Source organism: Homo sapiens, chromosome 17 (assembly GCF_000001405.40).
Source record: "Homo sapiens chromosome 17, GRCh38.p14 Primary Assembly".
NCBI lineage: Eukaryota > Metazoa > Chordata > Mammalia > Primates > Hominidae > Homo > Homo sapiens.
The window spans coordinates 14,289,913-14,306,223 of record NC_000017.11 but is presented as its reverse complement, the minus strand read 5'-3'; the positions used below and the strand labels follow the sequence as shown (position 1 = coordinate 14,306,223).

The following is a 16,311-nucleotide window of genomic DNA, read 5'->3' as shown; positions in this document are numbered from 1 at the left end:
TCACTCTAGTTATTAACCAATGTTAGATGTAGTAACTATCCTGCTTGGGGGCTGATATTCTTTTCAAGTGAATGACAAAATCTGCAGTCTGCGCTGAGACCACTAAAGGCATGTCAGAAAGCTGTCAAACTCTTCTAAAGCAAACTCAGTTTTGGACCCATGCTATATGATAAATATCTTGCTTCAATCACTTAAGCGAGGAAGTGTGATCCAGAATGGTCCAGAACGATCTCTGGAGCAGGACTGCCTGGGTTGGTATATTAGCTTTGGTACTTCCCAGCTGTGAGATCTTGGGCAAATTGCTTAACCTCTCTGTGCCTGTGTTTCCTCACCTGTAAAAGTACCTACTTCACAGAACTGTAATGAGGATTAAATTTGCTAATCCTGTAAAACTTGAAACAGTGCCTGGAACATAGGGAAAACATTCGGTAAGTGTTAGCTACCACCATTTATTATGCCACATACACACACACACACGTACGGTATACTTTGTTTAATGTGGGCCACAGCATTAACGTGTCAGCTTATTTTGTATAACGCAGAATGGAAAGGGGGACCGAGGTGGTAGAGGGAGTTTCTGCCGCTGTACAGTCTAAGGCATATTTTTGTATAACAAACAATAATTACACAATATTTGGCTAACTTAATTCCCAAACTGAGGTCATTACAATTTAAGAATATCTACCAACACTTAAGTAAAATCACAAAGAGAAACTTTAAAAGTTACAGATTTAATTTTTGGTCATTCAAACTTTAAATTAACATCCCAAGCCTAAATGTAAAGGGCAGGTTCTTTCTCCATCTTAGCATATGTGAAATTCTCCTGAACCACAGCCCGGTGTTTCCCAAACACTATGGGGTACCCATGGAACAGGAAGTAACACCCAGTTTCACCAGCCTGCTTGATGAGCCTCTTTGTGAGGTTCTCATTGGTGTCTGCTAAGTTTGGGAGGCCTGCTTCAAGAGGGCTGCATAATGAACTGGAAAAGTCAACCCAGAAGAGTCATCATCGCAGACTAAAACCAACTGGAGTTCCAGTGTGGATGGACAGTGCGTACTAGCACGTTTGATTTTTGCAGGGTTAAGGAGGTAGAAAGGCTGCCACTCTGGCCATTGGCAGCGCCAGCTCTGTACACCACCTCGGTGGGTTCCATCTCACCATGACCCCTCCTGATCCGGCTGATGGTGTCTCCTTTTGCCAAGTGGAAGGAAGAGCAATCAAACTCCGAGATGTCATGCAAATCTGCCAGGCCCTGGGTTACTGGTTAGGCCACTAGCAGGCTGTGTATCAACCGATTAAACCCATTAACGACTCACAGACACAGCCACGACCTCGTTCTCTAACAGATTACGATGCTGATCCTCAGACTCAACCATTCGTCCCCATCGTTTTTTGTTCTTAATGCCTTCAAAATGTCTCCCCACTCTCATATTCTCTAGTTTTTGAGGACTTGTTTTAACTAGGTTTCTGAATTACAACTCTCCCTGGTTAATTACTATTTATACTCTTCTCCAATTGGTTGCCTGACTGCAGGGACAGAGCGGAGGTACAATGGAGCACACCTCTGGCACGGAGCAAAGCTTGGCAGAGAGGAGAGAACTCCAACGAGGGCGAAGGGTGCACTCTGGGTACCAGATTTTAGGTAATGCGCTCTGGGTCAGCAGTCTCCTCCTGGCGTGGTCTGTTTAAAGTTAAAAAGGACGCCTTCAAAATAATTGTGACGTCCATACCTTTGCCCAGACATCCATTCGTTTTTCTTAAGTAATCAACATTTTTAAAGTAAACAGATGGCATTTAAAAGATTTTTTTCCCCCTTGGAAAATATCCACCAACTCTGCGGCCGCGCCAGGAGCTGCTGGTGCAGTCCAGGAACGCAGTGTTTGGGGCCAGTTGCGGCATTTACAGTGGGCTCCTCCGGCAGCCCGATCCGCCGGGTCACCGCCCCGGGCCCTGTGCCCCCTGGACCCGGGAGTCCTGCTTGTCAGTTCAGGGAGATGGCTCGGGAGGACGAAGAACCTCCCGCCTCCCGCGGCCCAGCCAAGCCCTTGCGGCCGCCCGGGTCCAGCCGCCATGCGTGGCCGCTCGCAGCGCAGCCCCCGGGCGCAAGTCGGCAGCCGAACCTCCCGGGCTGCGCTGTCCGCTGCAGGCGCGCGGCGAGGGTTTCCACGCGACTTCGTTCTTCATTCAGCGTTTTTTAGTCAATCAAAAAGAACGTGGCAGGTGGAGGGCAGCCGCCTAAGAGACTGCGTGAGCCTTCCTGTGGGGATTTCCATAGCTTGCCCCAGGTGCTTCAAAACCGCCTGACATTAAGGGTTCAGTCCTTTTCCTGCCAGTTCCTCCCAACCCGGCCCAAGTGTGTCTGATCTCAGAAAATCCTAGGCTGCCTCGGGGCTCTGGCGGGTTCCACCTGGAAGGGCGCTAGTTATAGCCTGCCGCCTGGCCCTGGAATCACCATCCCAGGAGGAGGGGGAGTGGTGGTGGTAGAAGTCATAACAATACAATCGGTGACAATAGCTAACGATTAGAGAGGCCCTCACGTGCCTGCGAGGCACCTTACCGTACCAGCGCATTCACTCTTCCCATCCCTGCCCAGAACCTGCATTATTCCCACTGCACAGATGAGAGCACCAAGGTTCACGCGACTAGCCAGGACGTGAATCCAGGCGTCGGACTCCAGAGACCCCATTCTTATCCACCAGTGTCCCGAGAATGGGTCACAGCCCGGGAACGGTGGGAAAGATGACTGTCACGGTTGGCTAAACCTCGAGACTTGGGCAACTCCTGACAATAATAAAAAACCATTAAGGACAAAGGGGAAGGGGTAGGACGAGGCTGGGAAGGGAGCCGTTTTAATCCGCGGGGTCAGCCCTCTTTTATTCTCCAACCCACCCAGGTCCCGACAGTGGGGTGGGCACAGGGAGAGGGGTTCAGTTATCTTCTCCTCTTTTGTTTTCCCAAGTCTTGAGCGTCTGTGAAGCTAATTGGGCCTGGAGGGGTGTCTGAATGTCGTGCTGGCTGGGGTTACGGGTGGAGACCCCAACGAAAATGTGGGGGTCGTTACCTGGGCCCCTAGTCGAAGACAGTTATCGGAGGCCGAAATCTAGACCTCCTGCCCACTCGCGCCTTACCCGAAGCTCGGGCAACCCAACAGCTCACCCCAAAGACCAGCAGCTGCGGAAAGCAGTGGGCAGAGGTAGTGATTGTGACCCCGGGGCCACTGTCCCTTTGGAACCTGACCCGCAACCCGACTCGAGAACAGAATTTCCGGAAGCCGCGACCTCGAAGCAACCCTCATTTCTCAATCAATGGGCCCCGAATATTCTTTGCTCCGGACGTGTAAAAGCCCCGCGGAGACACGCGTCCTTGCTTTCCCTATCCCAGCACCGAGGGCAGGGAGGCGGAAACGGGCGGCGGTGCCCGGAGGCCCGGACGCCTTCAAAGCCTCGCGCCGCTCCAGCCGGTTGCAGTGCGCGCCTTTGCCCGACAGGGACCAGCACAGCTCCACGCTCCGCGCGCCGCCCGCCCGCCAGGCGGAGGCGCCGGGCCACCCGCCCGGCTCACCCTCCCGAGCCCAGGCGGCTCGCGAGCGAGGCGGGTCTGACACCCTTGGGGTTCCGGTAACCAGGCGGACTGTAACAAAAAGTTAACAGACTCTGCGGCCTCGCCGGGACGCCGCGGCCCCCACCCCCTCTCCCCATCTGGGAAGCAGAAGCTGCTCTAGAAGTTCCTTGAGGGCGGAGACCGACCAAAGGGGCTCAGAACATTCCCAGCGTCTCGGGCTCCGGGAGGAAAAAATTTAAAACGAGTCATAAAATACGATTCGAGTCGGATACCCCCATGGTTAGAGGGTGGCTCGCTTTGCTGAGGGCGGTCTCAGTCGCTGCCCTTCTTCTTTGCGGCGAGGTCGCCTGATGAATTCAAGGGCACCAGTGCTCCGCGAGAACTTTCTGTGGGTTGTGACGAGAACCAAGCGGAGCGCAACCCTCACCGCACCCGGACAGGATGCGCTGCGCAATCTGCCGTAGTTTCCCTGCCCTACCCCGGGTGGTCCGAAGCTGTAACCCTGCCAATTCCCTATCATACGCCATGTCTCCCTTAGCTCAGGGTCTGAATCGACGATGGAGACCCTGCCCCTGGCAGGGAAACTCACCGGTACCAAGCGAGGCCCTTGTCGTAGCTGCGATCGAAGAAATGGGGCTCGGCGCCCACGGCGCGCACGTCGGGGTGCACGCGCAGAAACTCCAGCAGCGCCCGCGTGCCGCCCTTCTTCACGCCGATGATGATGGCCTGCGGCAGCTGCTTGCTCCCAGACCCACTGAAAAAGCTGGAGATGGGGCTTGGGGAGTCCGGCACCTCGGGACTCTGCTCCTCCGGGCTCGCAGCGCCCTCGGCCATCTCCTTGCCTGAAGCCAGTGGGGTGGCTGGCGGCGCCCGGAACGGCAGCCTGGGGGGCGTCCCGTCCGGAGCTGTGGCCAGGGCTGGCGGGTCGTGTGCGGCGCGGGACCCAGAGCCCAGGAGCAGCAGCCCCGGCGCGGCGGCGCAGGAGCCGGCGCACGAGTACAGGAACATATAGAGCCAGACGCAGAGCATGGCGAAGAGCAGCGCGAGCTTCCTCCTCACCGGCGGCGGGGGCGGCGGCGGCTGCGGTAGGAGCCGGCCGGGGACATCGAGGCAAGATCTGCCGCCACTCAGGCGCTGCCCCATGCGCTGCCCGCGGGCGCGGCCAGGGACATGGCTCAGCACATGGCGTGGGTCCCGCCGGGCAGTGAGCGCAGAGAGGGTTCCCCGGCACGCTGGACGCCCGGGTGGCTCGGTTTATTGCCCCCGTGTGCCCGCGGCCGCCGCTGCTGCTGCTGCTCTTCCCCAGGTGGCGGCGGCAGCTGTAGCGGCGGCGGCTCTTGACATGTTGCCCGGCAGGAGCTGCAACTGGAACGGAAAGTCGGGACGGCGGTAACTGCTGGGCGAGGGTCTGCTCCCGGGGCGCGACGACGCGCTCGGGGCCAGGAGGACGTTGCACTCTCGCGCCCTGGCCACTCTAGACTGTGCGCACCGCCGCACGCCGGGGCTGCCTCCTTGCAGTCCTAAGAACTGAGCCTCGAGCAGCCCCGGCACTTCCCCGCAGAGGCTGCAGAGGCGAACTGCGCAGGAAGAGAGCTGTGGACCGAGGTGGAGTGGGCGGTCCCGGCCTTCCAGAGTGACGGGCTGCTCTACCTACCAAAAACCCCGAACGCCATGCAAATACAGGCGCTTCTCCGAGAGCTCAGCAGCCAACCCGCTCCCAGGACGAGGGGGTGTGGAAAGGCTTCTGGGCGGTGTAGGGCGGTCAGGGGTTGCTATTGGCTTCGGAACAAGGGGCGGGCCCAAAGGGGCGGAGTTAGGGGCTGGTGACAGGAGCAGATGGTGGGAAGAATGCTGCAGTGACCTAGCGCTGGGAGAGGTCCTACCCTACTGAGTGGTGCGCTCCCACACCCGCACGCATTTCCGCACTCGTTCCCTAGAAGCCAGCCTTGGCGGTAGTTGCCCAGATGTTGGGACACCAGTCCCCATCCAGATGTTTCGCAGGAGGTTTCGTGATGCTTACGTGTTGCAGAGTAGGGAGGCGGTTGGAGGAGGGAGAGCAGGGTAGGAGATGCACTAGGCACTGGAACCCCCCCCCCAACCCACGCCGGGGACTCATTCGGAGACCCTTCTGGGACAGGCACGGGATTAGGAAGTTTAAGTAGAAAGGATGTTTGGAAATCGCTGTCGTGTGTGTGTGTGTGTGTGTGTGTGTGTGTGTGTGTGTGTGTCTTTCCTTCTTATTCTTTGCCAGGTTAGCTTGGCCTGCCGGTTAACTGAGATTAGTGTAAAGTGTCCTTAACAAAAATCTCCAGCCTTCCAAACTGCCGAAAGTAGGTTGGGGAGGGGAAAAGAGACAGGAGAAATTACCAGGAAGAGAGTCTGGTAAACAAAAGTTTCCTGGTCGAAACATGTGCGTGGGAGTCATGTGTAGGAAGTTTTATCTGGATATGAGTTTGTTGGAGACGTTAGGTTTGAGAAAACTTTCCATCTCCCCCTTTTTCCTGAATAGATATAAAGCCAACATTTGCCTTAATTTAGGAGACAGTGTGATTTGCTAACCTGTGACACTGATTGTTTCGTGTTGTCATTCACCACCGCTTTTTTAAAAGTCAAACATCAATTTGGAACAAATCCATCACTGAGGTGCACTTATTTAATAGTGAAAGTCTACTCGAAGTCACCCCCAACCACATTTTCTTTGGCAAAATGACCCACCCACCCGGGACTGGGGCGGATAAACGCGTCTTCCAAGAAACAGCAACCGCTAGCTGGGGGAAGTGCGGGTGAGCGGTGCTGCGCTTTGCTGAATTCTTGCCCAGGCGTTTGGAGTTCGGAAGCTCGAGATCAAATTCTTACTGGTCGTGTTCAGGAAGTTTTCGATGCCTGCAACCCAGCCTCTGCGGGGCCAGAGGGCCTCCAACTCCTGGCTGCAAGCGGTTCCGGGGACAGAACATTCCTTCCGGCTCCGACCCCAGCGCGACCCCCGGGGCTGAGTGTCACTCACGAAGTGACTCACCGGGAGCCGCCGCCCGCACTGTACTTACTTCACTGTCGGCGACGGCGGGCGCAGCGGAACCGACCTGAGCCCTGGTCCCTCGACCACTCTGTCCAGGACCAGCCACCAGCAGCCGGCCCCTCTCACTTCCTGAGTAAATGTTCCCAAGTGTCCCCGAGTTTACGCAGCCCCACCCTGGGTCCGGTCCCCCCTCGTCGGAAGCAAACGCAGAAAGCCAGATTGACGTTAGCACCCCTGGTTTGAAAATGTGCCTGAGCAGCGGTAATGGCCAGAGAGGATTCAGATAGCACAGCTGCCAGCACCGGACCCGTGCGCCCCGGCTGTGCTACGGGAGACTTCTTTGCAACTACTTTGAGCCCAAGACGTTTTCTTACAAAACTGTTGAGGGAGAAATAAATTAGACAGAGGATTTCCCTCCCGCTTTTATATTCTCAGCAATAACTTCTTTCTAGCTTTTCTTTCCGTGTCTCACTGGAACGTTGTGTTTGTTCTTCGAAGTGACTTATTCGCTCTTAATTTGATAATCTAATCCATTTATTTTAAACTTCTAAAACATGAGAACAAATATATTTCTGAGCACTAGCCCGACTCTATTTGGAAATGTGAGGAGAAAATAGTGTCTCCGTAGGGAGTGTCTTCAAATTTTATGTTATTTAGGTGGAAAATTCATGTTGTATAGGTGTGTGTTGGGCGAACTGTAGCTCCCATGTGGCTAACTTCAGGCTTGCCTGGGTGTGAGTCTTTCAGTGTTTTAAGGATTTTGACAATCCCAATATAAAAGGTCCCTGTCCTGAGGATTAGTAAAGTCTAATAAGTGAGCAATTACAAATTGAGGCAGCTGAATACATTTGGCGTTTCTTTTTTCCGGGGGTGGATTAACGGAAGGAGGGAGTAGAGGTAAAGATGTGGGCGTCGGAAATTGCTCTGACTGCAGCGCAGAGCTGAGCTCCCACAGCTAAGTCTCGGGCCGGACCCACCCGGCGTCCTTTCAATTCCAACTATTGAGAACCACAGGGGAGTTCGCGGTGCGCACCGCGCCGCGGGGCCTTCCCGGCACAAGGTCGGAGGGTCGTCTGGGGCCTGGACAGCGCCTGGGCGGGCTGGGAAGCGGCGCCAGAGGACGACCTGGGCGGCGAACTGACGCTTTGGCCCTTTTGCCCACCTAGCTGATCCTCCCATTGCTCTAGAGAGTCGTAGGCTGTGCCGTGAAATTCCCACGCGCGGCGGTCGCTCTCGGTCCACCCTTGGCAAAGGCCATCTCTCCCAACCGTCTTCCCATTCCGCAGATGCAGAACCCGAGGCTCAAACCTGGACAGAGCTGGTAGCCAAATTAACCGTGAACCCAGTTTGAGCTTCTGCCCTTAACCTTTGCTCAGCAGTGCGGGGTTCCCCACGCTTGGACCCTGGGCATCAGCAAACTGCCACCACTAAAACCGAGGGAAAGGTTTACCTCTGATAAACTCATTCAAAATGTTTGTATTCGGAAATGTAGAAAGGAGAGAATTGTATTTCAGCACGTCTATAAGGTTTATGTTTTATTTTGGTTGGTTTATTTGGTATTACCGAATAGGGTGCGCAGCTAGGGCCTCTCAGGGCTCTCATCTGGGAGGCAGCCCCTCTCCTTTAGGACAGGGCAGGGCCGCCACGGGGGCCCTCTCCTCTCGCTCTTCCCCCAGGTCCTGCTGCCAACAGCCCTCTGTGCGACCCCAGTCGGGTCACTCTAAAATTTCACATCTGTAGAATGGGAGACTTGAGCCAAACCATCCCCGCAGTATTTTCCGCCTGAAATTTCTCCGATTCTAGGCTCGGGATGGGAGGCTCCGCAGCTGCTCCAGCCTGCGGCCAGCTCCGCCTCCCCAACAGCCACCCTCTGGGGCCGAGCTCCTCTATACCCTCTGCGGCACCGCAAAGCAGGCATTTCCTGGGGCAGCCTGAACCGGTGGCCCAGAGCCCCAGTTCCTGCCACCGGAATCCGGACCTTCCTCCCGCTCCCCTCGCCAGCGAGGCGGCCCCTCGGGGGTTAGCAGCTGCGAGCTCGCTCCGCCTTCTCCAGCGGCCCGGGCGCGAAGGGCGGTCGGCGCCGCAGCGGCTCCGATGCCCGCCCGGAAGGGAGCGCTCTGGCCCCGGCCTCGCAGCTGCGGGACAGCCGGGAGCGGAGCAGAGGGCAGCCGCGGCCAGTTGTCTCCCCAGCGGACTGGGAAGGGAACTTTATCTCGGCCTGGACTCCCGCTGTACCTTTGTTGGGGGTTAGTGGTGAGGCTGCGGTCGTCCGAGCTCCTGGGTGTCGCGGGCGCCGCGATCCCCTCTTCCCGTAGAAGGGCCCAGGGCGCTGCTCGAGGCGCGGGAACCCCTGGCCAGAGGCGGGCACTGGCGCAGCCCCGCGGCTGCTGCTGGCCAAGCCGACTGCAGGGATGAGAAATTCCTTGTAAGAGTGGCTGGAAGGCTCCGCGGAGAGGGAAGAAACTCTTCCCAGAGCGAGCTCCCACTGCTCCTTGGGAATGGTGCACTTTCCAGTTCCAGTTGGACCCTCTGGGATTGTCACAGGAAGCGCTGCCATGTATGAGGAGCCCTCTGCAAACTACAGAAGGATGGATGCTCTTAGCTTATAAATAAGATTTTGACGCCCTGGTTGGTTTGATGACTTGTGTCATGAGGAGTAGGGGTGTGCGCTGATTCCAAATTCTTCCACGCGGCATCCTGCTCCGGAGCCTCCCTTGTCTCCTAGAGAAAGGGACAGGGAATCGAAGGATGGGGAGTCTGAGGGAGAGGCCCCTATTCCGCACGCTGTCTCCTGGCTGGCTCCTGAAGGGCTGGCTGCTTCCCCCACCTGGAAGTCCAGGCCCCTGTTCGGAAGTCCTCTCCGCACAGCCTGACAGTCCCTTGGTTCTCTTATGATTGCTCTCCTCCCGCTTCAGGCCTAGGATGGCAAGGACAGCTCCCACTTACCAGAGCCAAGGCACTACGCCGTTCCTGGGTGTCCTCTTCTCCTCCAGCTCCTTTGTAAGTCCCATGCTCCTCTATTTACCTAGTGGAGGGTGTCATGCCAGGACCCTGGCATATGATACACCAGAGCTGCATTGCTTTTCCGAATCTGCTCAAGCTGTACAACATTTCTGAGCCTCAGTACCACCAGCCATCTGTGGTCCTCCATTTGTCCTCTTCTCCTACAAATACCTCCAGCCCCTCTCTTCCTTCATGATGCTTCTAGCATTGGAAATCCTCCAGGACAATTCTGCCTTCAAGTTTCCTAGCCTGAGCCACTGAGTTGATGGAGGAAAATGTGATAGAGATGACTCGTCCTCCTTTAATTTTCCCACTTCTATAAGCATATAAACGTGCCCTGCAACTCTCCTAAGTGTCCCCAGAAGACCCGCTTTCCCAGTCTCTGAGACAAACATTTCTTAGCCTTCTCTCCTGCAAGAGATAACATTTCTCAAAGTTTCTTTGAGCATGTAGATGCTGACAGGGGATGATCTATCCCTTCCACCACCAAACCTCCACACCAGTTGGCACTCCACCCTTGTTATAGTGGAGGAAGCTGCAGGCTAGTTCCAGCACAGTGAACCCCAGTAGTGTTTCGCTTCTCAGCCTTTGCCATCTCCTCATCCCTGAGCCATCTCCCTGTGGCAGACACTGATGGGCCACCAGCACTGCATCAGTGAAGGACTTGCTGCCCCAGCTGCTGGCGTGCTGTCAGCACAGCCTCCTGCAGTCCGCCTCTCCACGATTGCGGAAAGCATCTAGGCTGAAGGGTACGTATGCTGCTTCGCAGGTGACCCCCGGCCAGTGACTGATGTAGAAGCTAAAGGTTTGCTCTTCCCAGCCCAACTTCAGACATCTCTGAAGGGCTGTTCAATCTCCAGAGCTTCTTGTGAGGCGGGCAAAGGGTGTTGGGTTCCACCACAGCTGACCTTCTCCCCCTGCCCACACCTGCTTCCTCCTCCTTCCTTCTACAGGTGCAGGTGCTGTATGCATTGGTTTATATGCTTCCTGTACATTTCCTCAGGAACCCAACCTGCACCCGTCCTTCTCTAAAGTATGGTTACCATCAGCATCCAGACATACTCCTTTTTTTTTTTTTTTTTTTTTTTTTGCTTCTCTTCATAGCAAAATATATGAACAGTTTTTACCTTTCACCTGTCATTTTCTTTTTATTAAGCTAGTTTTATTCTTCAATGATGAAAAATTTATACAAGCCCTGCAAAGGATCAAATGTGTAAGAAATACAGAATATGGCTCTCTCTGACCCCAAACTGCCAAACATTGTTTGCGAATAAAAGCAAAAAAGTGTACATTCCTCTCCTCCCCTCCTTTCTTTTCCCAAATGGCAGCATTAAAGAGCAATGTTCTGTCATATGGGTGATCGCTCTCTATCAGTGTATGTTTCTTAGAAACACTGACTACAGGTAACGTCAACTTAAAAATGATTGAAGTTATAAATGTCTCTTTATCCCTTGGAGCATTTCCTTTCCTTACCTCTAAACACATTTTCCTTTCCGCGGCTGCCCCCTGCTCCGCTCCCGGCTGTCCCGCAGCTGCGATGCCTGGGCCAGAGCGCTCTCTTCCGGGCGGGCATCGGAACCGCTCCAATGTCGCCGGAGTATGGTTTCCTAAATGGTACCTCTAAAGTTAAGAAGAAAGTGCAGGCTGGGCACGGTGGCTCACACCTGTAATCCCAGCTCTTTGGGAGGCCGAGGAGGGCGGATCACGAAGTCAAGAGATAGAGACCATCTTGGCCAACACGGTGAAACCCCGTCTCTACTAAAAATACAAAAATTAGCTGCGCATGGAGGCGCGCATCTATAGTCCCAGTACTTGGGAGGCTGAGGCAGAAGAATCACTTGAACCCTGGAGGCGGAGGTTGCAGTGAGCTGAGATAGCACCACTGCACTCCAGCCTGGGTGACAGAGCGAGACTCCTTCTCAAAAAAAAAAAAAAAAAAAAAAAAGGTACAATGCTTGTGTCTGGACTCATTTTTTAAACTACACATTTTCCTTGTAGACAGCATTTATTCACTCCTTAATTTTAAAAACTGGGTAAATAAGCATACATACTTGTTTTCATCCTTCCAACTTAAAATGAAGCAGTGTACACTTTATTTTACTCTATCAAGATTGATAATATTTGTAGTCTTAACTACCATTCCTGGAGTTCTCTACTTTTAGTTTTATGTTTATGTGACTCACAGGAGCGAAGAAATCTGAGAACTTCATTTTTGATACTAATTTATAGTTGGCTGGAGTTCATGGAATGATTGGTTAATGTTCGATGTTGTTTGAGAAGTATTCATGGATGCTGTACTTTTTGTTGTCTTACCTGCTTGAGAATATCTGTCTGTTGCCTTTAATACTTGATGAAAAATTTGACAGAGTAGAGAATCTTTGGTTATAACGTACTATTTCTTTCCACTTAGAATTGACTGAAACTTGTTTTGTTCTCTACTTGCAAAGGATGTTGCTAGTTCATTCTTTGTATCCATTCCGCATTTTCTCACATCCATTGAATATTTTATTTCAACCAATGTATGTGTTATATCCAGCATGTCTATTTTTTGACTGTTAGTTTGCATGCCTCAATTGTCTATTTTTTTTTCTCAGTGAGCTCATGTTCCTGGGGGCTATCAGCTGCTTAGCAGACAATATTTAGTTGGGAAGGACAAAAATCCCAGGCCATAGCCTGTGCCCCCTCCACTTGTTTTTTTGGGTAACGGGAACTCTGGTGTTGTCAATGAGGCTCAACTACTACCTATGGAACCTTCTTCCTACTAACTTCAGATGACTCCCACTGTCAGGGAAACTTCAAGTACCTGAGCTCAGGGTATATTATTTCTTTTCTTTTCTTTTTTGAGACAGGGTCTCACTCTGTCACCCAGGCTGGAGTGCAGTGTGCCATCATGGCTCATTATAGCCTTGAACTCTGGGTTTAAGCAATGCTCCCGCCTCAGCCTCCTGAGTAGCTGAGACTTCTGGTGTGTGCTACCACACGCAGATAATTTTGCTTATTTTTTGTGGAGACGGAGTCTCACTATGTTGCCCAGGCTGGTCTCTAACTCCTGGACTCAAGCAATCCTCCTGCCTTGGCCTCCCAGAGTGCTGGGATTATAGGTGTGAGCCACCACACCCCAGCTAGCACTGTAATTTCTAATTGCTGCTTCCTTACCTTGTAGTTACATGTAGGGGAGGTGATGGGGGAACAAAGCTCCTCCTTCACCTATTTCCTATGGTGGTAACTGGCCCCCTTCTACTTTAGGTACCATTTTTCTTCCCCACAATGAAATACAAAAACCTTCTACCTTCCTAAGGTTTCTGGTGTTTTCCCCACCCTAAAGTCTGGGATCTCTTGCTTCGGTGGCATCTTTACAGTTGAATTCAAGGGAAGAAGTTTGCAAAACATGCTTTTCCAAAACTGTGACTCAAATTATCTGCTGTTTTTAAAGCTGAATAACTTCACTAGCAGCTATTTTGATGTGGCTTTTCCATATCAGTTTTAATTGAAACATAATATGTTTCCAGCTTTATGGTTTACTCACTACTTAAGGAGTATATTTTTAGGTTTTTTTTTTTTTTCTATTTTGCTTGTTTTGTTCTATTTTTCAGAATGTGGTCATGTGCTGCAAAACAACAAAAGGACCACATATAAGACAGTGGTCCCATAAGATTATAATACTGTGTTTTTGGAACCAACCCAAATGTCCATCAATGATAGACTGGATTAAGAAAATGTGGCACATACACACCATGGAATACTATGCAGCCATAAAAAAGGATGAGTTCATGTCCTTTATAGGGACATGGATGAAGCTGGAAACCATCATTCTGAGCCAACTATCACAGGGACAGAAAATCAAACACCGCACGTTCTCACTCATAGGTGGGAATTGAACAATGATAACACATGGACACAGGGTGGGGAACATCACGCACCAGGGCCTGCTGGGGGATGGGGGGAGGGGGAAGGGATAGCATTAGGAGATATACCTAATGTAAATGATGAGTTAATGGGTGCAGCACACCAACATGGCACATGTATACATATGTAAAAAACCTGCACGTTGTGCACATGTACCCTAGAACTTAAAGTAAAATAATAAAAAAAATAAAAATACTATTCTTACTGTATCTTAGATACACAAACACCCTTGTGCTACGATTGCCTACAGTATTCAGTACAGTAACATGCTCTACAGGTTTGTAGCTTAGAAGCAATAGGCTGTACCATATAGCCTAGGTGTGTAGTAGGCTATGCCATCTAGGTTCATGTAAATACACTCTGTGATGTTTGTATAACAACAAAATGACCAACTACACACTTCTCAGAGGTATTCCTGTCATTAAGCAATATATGACTATACTAATTATGAACCCAATATATCTCCTTTGTCTTTCATGCTTATACTTTTCTGTATAATAGTTTCAAATCTTAGATGTTCTCCAATTTGTAATGTGTGTATCATTTCCTTTGGCCTGTCTAGTTGATCTCTGAACAATTCAATTATTTTCATTCTTTTTTTATTTTGTCATTTTGTTCTTCTCTTTCACTCTTTTCTGCCATCTGTCTGTCAGCAGCTTGCTTTTCTATTTCTTCTGTTGTTTTTTAGCATTTTATATGAACATGTCTATTCTTTAATCTTATTTGTTTTTCAGAAGGGTCATGTTATTTGTAATTCTTTGAGAGTTAGGGAATTATTATTCTTCCTCATCACTTTTTTTTGTAATAAGCTTTATTTTTTAGAGCATTTTACATAAAAATTGAGTGGAAAGTACAGAGAGTTCCCATATATCTCCCTTAACACAGACACACAGACACACACACACACACATACACACACACACACACACACACACTGTATTAGTCTGTTTTCACACTGCTATAAAGAAATACCTGATTGATACTGGGTACTTCATAAAATAAAGAGGTTTAATTGACTCACAGTTCCACATGGGTTGAGAGGCCTCAGGAAACTTACAATCATGGCAGAAGGCGAAGGGGAAAGAAGCACCCTCTTCAGAAGGCGGCAGAAGAGAGAAGAGAGCAGGGAAACCACCACTTATACAACCACCAGATCTTGCAAGAACTCACTCACTATCATGAGAACATCGTGAGAAACCTCCCACCGGGTCCCTCACTTCACATGTGGGGATTATGGGGATTAAAATTTCAGATGAGATTTGGGTGGGGACACAGAGACAAACCATATCTCTCTCTCTCTCTCTCTCTCTCTCTCTCTCTCTCTCACATACACACACAGACACACAGACACACACACACACAGAGTTTCCCCTGTTATTAACTTCTTGCATTAGTGTGGTACATTTGTTAACAACTGATGAGCCAATATTGATAAATTATTACTAATGAAAGTCCACAGTTTACATTAGGGTTCACTTTTGGTGTTGTACATTCTAGGGGTTTGGGCAAATGTATACTGACACGTATCCAGCATACGGAACAGTTTCACTGCCCTAAAAATTGTGCCCTGACTATTCATCCCTCCCTCTCTACTAACCCCTGGCAACCACTGTCTCCATATTTTTGCCTGTTCCAGAATGACATTGCTATGATCTGAATGTGTTCCCCAAATTCATATATTGAAACTTTATGGCCAATGTGATGGTATTAAGTGTGGCCTTTAAGAGGTGATGGAGCTGTGAGGGCTCTACCCTCATGAATGGTACTTGGTGCTCTTATGAGCGTGTCCTTTTTCATCCCTTCTCTCCCTCCCATGGGGGACACTGTGTTCCTCCCATCAGGGGATGCAACAACAAGGCAATGTCATGGAAGTGGAGAGCAGCCCTCACCAGACACCGAACCCATCAACACCTTGATTTTAGACTACCAGCCTCCAGGACAATAAGAAAAAATTTCTGTTCCTTGTAAATTACTCAGTCTCAGGCAGTTTGTTGTAGCAGCATAAATGAACTAAGACAGTCATACGGCTGGAATCATACAAGATGTAGTCTTTTCAGATGGGTCTCTTTCACTCAGTAGTGTGCATTTAAGGTTCCTCTATGTCCTCTTTTCAGGGCTTGATAGTGCATTTATTTTATTGCATTGTAAGGATATGCCACAGTTTGTTTATCCATTTGCTTATTGAAGGATATCTTGGTTGCTTCCAAGTTTTGGCAATTATGAATAAAGCTGCTATAAGCAGCCATGGGTAGTTTTCAGTATTGATGTAAGTTTTCACTCATTTGGGTAAAGATAAAGGAGAGCAATTTCTGGGTCCTATGGTCAGAATATGTAAAAAACTGCCAAACTGTCTTTGAAAGGGGCTGTACCATTTTACATTCCCATGAACAACAAACGGGAGTTCCTGTTGCTCCACATCCTTGCTAGCATTTTGTATTGTCTACTCTTCACTGCTTAATAAAATTTAAAATATAATTCCTCCTTTTTCTTTTACTCAGTTTTAAATGATACATTTTAAAGAAAGTATTCAGAAATAATTAGAAAATAGTTTTTAAAAACACAGAAAGTGATATAACAAACATCTGTGATTCCATTGTCCAATCATTTTCGCTTTATTTATTTATTTATTTATTTATTTATTTATTTATTATTTGAGACAGGGTCTTGCTCTGTTGCCCAGGCTGGAGTGCAGTGGCATTATCTCAGCTCACTGCAGCCTCAACCTTCTGGACTCTAGCAGTCTTCTCATTTCAGCCTCCTGAGTACCTGCGACTACAGGCACACCACCACACCTAATTTTGTTTTTTATTTTTTGTAGAGATAG

The 16,311-nt window shown here is 50.3% G+C and overlaps 1 protein-coding gene and 1 long non-coding RNA gene across 3 annotated transcripts in view, besides 2 other annotated features; both read right to left on the bottom strand.

The window, feature by feature from the left end:
- The window catches only part of HS3ST3B1 (heparan sulfate-glucosamine 3-sulfotransferase 3B1), a 48,324-nt gene extending 43,181 nt beyond the window's left edge, over positions 1-5,143 (bottom strand). For both annotated transcript variants that reach the window (NR_130138.2, NM_006041.3), the window contains exon 1: positions 4,152-5,143. Coding sequence is in view for 1 of the 2 variants with exons in the window: in NM_006041.3 (NP_006032.1) it covers positions 4,152-4,705 (554 nt within the window). In the remaining variant the exon portion in view is untranslated. The remainder of the gene's footprint in view (positions 1-4,151) is intronic.
- On the bottom strand, positions 479-2,484 carry MGC12916 (uncharacterized protein). Its single transcript, NR_026880.1, has one exon. It is a non-coding gene; the product is annotated as an uncharacterized protein MGC12916 (long non-coding RNA).
- Positions 2,043-2,543: an enhancer, noted in NCBI's record as "H3K4me1 hESC enhancer chr17:14206998-14207498 (GRCh37/hg19 assembly coordinates)". NCBI's record gives its function as "activates a minimal SCP1, AML or CMV promoter by ChIP-STARR-seq in naive and primed H9 embryonic stem cells {active_cell/tissue: H9 hESC(naive and primed)}" and the evidence as "EXISTENCE:reporter gene assay evidence [ECO:0000049][PMID:30033119]".
- Positions 3,358-3,657: a silencer, noted in NCBI's record as "silent region_8208". NCBI's record gives its function as "represses an Ori minimal core promoter by ATAC-STARR-seq in GM12878 lymphoblastoid cells {active_cell/tissue: GM12878}" and the evidence as "EXISTENCE:reporter gene assay evidence [ECO:0000049][PMID:35858748]".
- Positions 5,144-16,311: the final 11,168 nt, after the last annotated feature.